This window comes from Homo sapiens, chromosome X (genome assembly GCF_000001405.40).
Source record: "Homo sapiens chromosome X, GRCh38.p14 Primary Assembly".
NCBI classification, from domain to species: domain Eukaryota; kingdom Metazoa; phylum Chordata; class Mammalia; order Primates; family Hominidae; genus Homo; species Homo sapiens.
The window spans coordinates 116,104,044-116,111,106 of record NC_000023.11 but is presented as its reverse complement, the minus strand read 5'-3'; the positions used below and the strand labels follow the sequence as shown (position 1 = coordinate 116,111,106).

Genomic DNA, 7,063 nt, shown 5'->3' with positions numbered 1-7,063 from the left:
AGAATCAAATAAGCAGAAGAAAGTACTTCAGAGCTCAAAGATAAGGTTTTCAAATTAACCCAATCCAACAAAAACAAAGAAAAAAGACTCAAGAAAAATAAACAAAGCTTCCAAAAAGTTGAGAAATAAGACAAATCTAACTACTTTCTAATAATTAAATAAATAAATCTAAACAATAATCTAATATGTTGGAAAACATATTTGGGGAAATAGTTGAGGAAAACTTCCTCAGCCCTGCTAGAGATCTAGGCATTTAAATGCAAGAAGCTCAAAGAACACCTGGGAAATTTACTACAAAAAGCTCATCATCTAGGCACATCATCATCAGGTTATCTAAAGTGAAGATGAAGGAAAGAATCTTAGGAGCTGTGAGGCAAAAGCACCAGGTAACCTATAAAGAAAAACTTATCAGATTAACAGCAGATTTCTCAGCAGAAACCCTACAAGCTTGAAGAGATTGGGGCCCTATCTTTATCCTCCTTAAACAAAGCAATTATCAGCCAAGAATTTTAGATCCAGTGAAACTAAGCTTCTAAATGAAGGAAAGATGCAGTCTTTTTAAGAAAACAAATGTTGAGAGAATTCTCCACTACCAAGCCAGTACTAAAAGAACTGCTAAAAGCAGCTCTAAATCTTGAAATGAATCCTCAAAATACACCAAAATAGAACCTCCTTAAAGCATAAATCTCACAGGACCTACAAAACAAAAATACAATATATTTTAAAATAACACAAGGTATTCAGGCAACAAATAGCATAATGAATAAAATAGTGCCTCACATCTCAATACTAACACTAAAGGTAAATGGCCTAAATGCTCCACTCAGAAGATACAAAGTGGCCGAGTGGATAAGAATTCACCAACCAAGTACCTGCTGTTTTCAAGAGACTTGCTTAACATATAAGGACTCACACAAACTTAAGGTAAAGGGATGGAAAATAAATATTCCTTGAAAATGGACACCAAAAGTGAGCAGGAACAGCTGTTCTTATATCAGATGAAACAAACTTTAAAGCAACAGCTGTTAAAAAATGACAAAGAAGAAAGTGAAATAATTATAAAAGGATTTGTCAAATAGAAAAGTATCACAATCCTAAGTATATATGCAGCTAACATTGGAGCTCCCAAATTTATAAAACAATTACTACTAGACCTAAGAAATGAAATAAACAGCAACACAATAATAGTGGGGGACATCAATACTCCACTGACAGGTCAGGAAGATGAAAAGTAAACAAAAAAAATGGACTTAAACTATACCCTAGAACAAATGGACTTTACAAGTATTTACAGAACATTTTGCCCAACAACTGCAGAATATTCATTCTATTCATCAGCACCTGGAACATTTTCCAGGATAGACCATATGATTGATAGGCCACAAAACAAGTCTCAAAAAATTCAAGAAAATGGAAATTATATCAAGTACTCTCTCAGGTCACAGTGGAATAAAATTGGAAATCAACTCCAAAATGAACCTTTAAAGCCACACAAATACATGAAAATTAAATAACCTGCTCCTCAATGATTGTTGGGTCAACAATGAAATCAAGATAGAAATTTTAAAAAATTATTTGAACTGAACAATAATAGTGACACAACCCATCAAAACCTCTGGGATACAGCAAAGGTAGAGCTCAGAGGTAAGTTCATAGCCTTAAATGCCTACATCAAAAAGCCAGAAAGAGCACAAATAGACAATCTAAGGTTATACCTTAAGGAAACAGAGAAACAAGAATAAACTAAACCCAAACCCAGGAGAAGAAAATAAATAAGAAATATCAGAGCAGAACTAAATGAAATAAAAATGAAAAAATAAATTAAACAAAAAGCTGGTTTTCAAAAAGATAAAATCGATAGACCATTAGCAAGACTAACTAAGAAGAGAAGAGAGAAGATCCAAATAAGCTCAATTAGAAACAAAATGGGAGACATTACAACTGACACCACAGAAATACAAAAGATCATTCAAGCCGACTAGGAACACCTTTATGTGCATAAACTAGAAAACCTAGAGAAAGTGGATAAATTCCTGGAAACATGCAACCCTCCCAGATTAAACCAGGAAGAAATAGAAACTGAACAGATCAATAACAAGCAGCGAGATTGCAATGGTAATTGAAAAATTACCAATAAAAAAAAATTCAGGACCAGACAAATTCACAGTTGAATTTTATCAGACTTTGAAAAATGAATTGGTACCAATCTTATTGAAACTATTCCAAAAGATAGAGAAAGAGGCAATTCTCCCTAAATCATTCTATCCGGTATCCCCTTAATACCAAAACCAAGAAAGTACATAACAAAAAAAAAGAAAAAGAAGAAAGATGAAAGAAGAAAGAAGCAAGAAGGAAGAGGAGGAGGAGGAGGAAGAAGAAGAAAAAGAAGAAGGAGAAGGAGAAGAAGAAGGAGAAGAAGAAGGAGGAGGAGGAGGAAGAAGAAGAAAAAGAAGAAGGAGAAGGAGAAGAAGAAGGAGAAGAAGAAGGAGGAGGAGGAAGAAGAAGGAAGAAGAAAGAAGAAGAGAGAAGAAAAAAGAAGAAGAAGACTACAGACCAACATCCCTGATGAATTTGGATGCAAAAATTCTTAAGAAAATACCAGCTAACCGTCCGAGGCGGCAGTGGCGCCGGTGAGGACAAGGATAGCGGAAGCGGGCCCTGGGCTTGTCACTCACTGTGCCGAACGTAGAGGAGCTTTACCGCAATTATGGCATCCTGGCCGATGCCATGGAGCAAGTGGTCCAGCATAAAAATGCCTATGAAGTGATACCGGGTGGTGTGAAAGGTGGTACTAAGGAAAAACGATTAGTAGCCCAATTTATTCCGAAATTCTTTAAGCAGTTTCCAGAATTGGTTGAGTCTGCTATCAATGCACTGTTAGACCTCTGTGAGGATGAAGATGTATCTATTCGACGTCAAGCAATTAAAGAACTGCCTCAATTTGCCACTGGAGAAAATCTTCCTCGAGTGGCAGATATATTAATGCAACTTTTGCAGACAAATAACTCTGCAGAATTTAACCTAGTGAACAACGCCCTGTTAAGTATATTTAAAATGGTTGCAAAAGGGACTTTAGGTGGGTTGTTCAGCCAAATACTTCGAGGAGAGGACATTGTTAGAGAACGAGCAATTAAATTCCTTTCTACAAAACTTAAGACTTTACCAGATGAAGTCTTAACAAAGGAAGTGAAAGAGCTTATACTAACTGAATCCAAAATGTCCTAGAAGATGTGACTGGTGAAGAATTTGTTCTATTATGAAGATACTGTCTGGGCTAAAAAGCTTACAGTGAGTGGAAGATAGCAACTTGTAGGGTTGGTGGCTGAACAGGCCGACCTAGAACAGACCTTCAATCCCTCGGATCTTGACTGTGTGTACAGGCTCTTACAGTGCACTCGGCAAGCAGTACCCCTCTTCTCTAGAATTATCCATTCCACAAGGTTTGTGACATATTTCTGTGAGCAGGTTCTCCCTAACCTCAGTACCTTGACTACCCCAGTGGAAGGTCTTGATATACAGTTGGAGGTATTGAAATTGTTGGCTGAGATGAGTTCATTTTGTGGTGACATGGAAAAACTAGAAACAAATTTAAGAAAACTATTTGATAAGTTATAGGAATACATGCCGCTCCCTCCAGAAGAAGCAGAAAATGGAGAGAATGCTGGTAATGAAGAACCCAAGCTACAGTTCAGTTATGTGGAATGTTTGTTGTATAGTTTTCACTAGTTGGGCCGAAAACATCCAGATTTCTTAACAGCCAAACTGAATGCAGAAAAGCTCAAAGATTTCAAAATCAGGCTGCAGTACTTTGCACGGGGCCTGCAAATTTATATCAGACAACTTCGCTTAGCTCTCCAGGGTAAAAGCTCTCCAGGGTGAGGCCTTAAAAACAGAAGAGAACAAGATTAAAGTCGTTGCATTGAAAATAACAAACAATATCAATGCTTTAATCAAGGATCTCTTCCACATTCCTCCTTCTTATAAGAGCACAGTAACACTATCCTGGAAACCTGTACAAAAGGTTGAGATTGGGCAAAAGAGAGCCAGTGAAGATACAACTTCAGGTTCACCACCCAAGAAATCTTCAGCAGGACCAAAAAGAGATGCCAGGCAGATTTATAACCCTCCCAGTGGGAAATATAGCAGCAATTTGAGCAACTTTAATTATGAGAGGAGCCTTCAGGGGAAGTAGAGGTGGCCGAGGTTGGGGCACACGAGGAAATCGTAGTCGGGGAAGACTCTACTGAATAAGACGTCAGCATTCTTCAGCATTGTCGTGGGCTTAATATACATAAATTCTACTAATCATTGAATTGCCGGGGATGTCCCTTTAAACAGACTGCTGCCTTCAGCTAAAAACTTAATGTTCTTTATACCTTTGTATGTATGATCTACTTTTGTAACAGACCATGGTTGTGTCCAAGGTAAAACCACAGTGATATTTTTGGATGCTTTGTCTGCAATCTTGTCTTGTTTTTGCAATATCGTTATTCAGACTTCAAATTGTGAATCTTTTACTTTTAAACATCTTGATAATTTGTTGTTGAGAGCTGTTCATTCTAAAATGTAATGAAATTCAGTCTAGTTCTGCTGATAAAGATCATCAGTTTTGAAAGGTTACTGATTTTCCTCTACCCTCTTAGTTTTTTGCCCAATATATGGAGAAGAGTAATGGTCAATCTTAACATTTTGTTTTAATTGTTTAATAAAGCTGCTGGGCAGTGGTGCAGCATTCCTACCTAGTGTCATAAAAGCAAAATACTTACATAGCTTCCTTAAAATATAGGAATGACATTACATTTTTAGGAGAAAGTAAGTTGCTTTGCACGGCTTACTAAATTCCTTTCCATATATTGTGATACAAACTTTTGAATATGGAATCTTACTATTTGAATAGAAATGTGTATGTATAATATACATACATACATAAGCATGGGTGTGTGTGTGTGTGTGTGTGTGTGTGTGTATTTTCACTCACGTCTGTGTGAAGAGAACACCAAACAGGCTTTGTGTGAGCAACAGGGCTGTTTATTTCACCTGGGTGTAGGCGGGCTGAGTCTGAAAAGAGTCAGTGAAGGGAGATAGGGGTGGGGCCGTTTTATAAGATTTGGGTAGGTAAAGGAAAATTACAGTCAAAGGGGGGTTGTTCTCTGGCAGGCAGGAGTGGGGGTCACAAGGTGCTCAGTAGGGGAGCTTTTTGAGCCAGGATGAGCCAGGAGAAGGAATTTCACAAGGTAATGTCATCAGTTAAGGCAAGGACTGGCCATTTTCACTTCTTTTGTGGTAGAATGTCATCAGTTAAGGCAGAAACAGGCCATTTAAATATCACTTCTTTTGTGATTCTTCAGTTACTTCAGGCCATCTGGATGTATACATGCAAGTCACAGGGGATATGATGGCTTAGCTTGGGCTCAGAGGCCTGACATATATATATATACATGCTATGAAACTTGACTACACAACATAAATCACTTTTTAAATTCCAGGAACGGGTAATCTGACACAGTGATTATCCTTTTGAGGCTGAATCTGTTATTAACTTGTTATTTAGGTTTTTACTCCCAGTAGGAAGGGATTCTAAGTCAGTTGCACTTACATGATTATTGTTATTTAAAACTAAAAATAAAGGATGCATTTTCAAAGATAAATTGGAGTTGCTATTGGTGAAATACAACCAAAATACTGAATCTGATGTACATATAGGTTTCTACAGGAAGAGATATTATAATTTAGAATTTGGAATTTAATAACCAGGGCTACCCAGAAAAAGTGACTTGATAACATGGTACCAATAAGTAAGGGATGCTCTCTCTGTTTGCTTTTGCCACTTTCAAGATTTTAACTTCTCAGGTTATTAATCAAAATTATTGTATAAGTTAGCCAATAGAATTTTTAGGTTAAAACAACAGATGGGGGGTTTTTGGAGTGTTTAATGTCATGGGCATTTTTAGTAGCATAGACCCTTTGTTCTGCATTTGAATGTTTCGTATATTTTTGTTTCACAGTTAATCTTTCCTCCCCAAGTTTGCTATTCAAATCAACTGCCTGAATGACATTTCTAGTAGTCTGATGAATTTTTTTGAGGAATAGTTTGTGATTCCAATGCAGGTGTCTTCATTACCATTACCTCTACACTGCAGAAGAAGCAAAACTCCTTTATTAGAATTACTGCACATGTGTATGGGGAAAATATTTCTGAAAGGCTAGAATGATACAAGTGAGCAAAAGTTGGTCAGCTTGGCTATGGAGTGGTGGTAATAATCTCTAAACATTCCAAAAGACCATGAGCTGAGCCTAAACTCCCTTGGAATCTGAACAAAGGAATATAAAATTGCCATTTGAAAACTGACCAGGTAATCTGGACCTCAGAGATAGATCAGCCAGTGGCCCAAAGCCATTTCAAGTACAGAAATTGTATTGAGAATACAGCTAAATAAATTTGAAGATTAAGTATAATTTTACCACTTTTCCTCTTTATAAGCACATTTGTAAACTCAAAACTGAGCAGAAGTGACTTTACTTTTCTCAAGTTTGATACTGAGTTGACTGTTCACTTATCCCTCACCCTTCCCCTTCCCTTTCCTAAGGCAATAGTGCACAACTTAGGTTATTTTTGCTTCCGAATTTGAATGAAAAACTTAATGCCATGGATTTTTTTTCTTTTGCAAGACACCTGTTTATCACCTTGTTTAAATGTAAATGTCCCCTTATTCTTTTGAAATAAATTTCCTTTTGTAATTTAAAAAAAAAAAAAAAGAAAATACTAGCTAACCAAATCCAACAGCATATCAAAAAGGTAATCCACCATTTTCAAATGGGTTTCATACCAGGGATGCAGAAATGGTTTAACATACACAAGTCGATAAATGTGATACATAGCATAAACAGAATTAAAAATAAAAATCAGATGATCTTCTCAAGAGAAGCACAAAAAAGCATTTGAGAAAATCCAGCATTCCTTTATGATTAAAACCCTCAGCAAAATTTGCATACAAGGGATATACCTCAATGTATACAACATAATACCGAATGGGGAAAAGTCAAAAGCATTCCCTCTGAGAAC

At 36.6% G+C, this 7,063-nt stretch overlaps 1 pseudogene, besides 1 other annotated feature; it reads left to right on the top strand.

Annotated features, from left to right (window-relative positions):
* API5P1 (apoptosis inhibitor 5 pseudogene 1) lies at positions 2,610-6,741 on the top strand (annotated as a pseudogene).
* Positions 5,007-5,572: an enhancer, noted in NCBI's record as "NANOG hESC enhancer chrX:115236788-115237353 (GRCh37/hg19 assembly coordinates)". NCBI's record gives its function as "activates a minimal SCP1, AML or CMV promoter by ChIP-STARR-seq in naive H9 embryonic stem cells {active_cell/tissue: H9 hESC(naive)}" and the evidence as "EXISTENCE:reporter gene assay evidence [ECO:0000049][PMID:30033119]".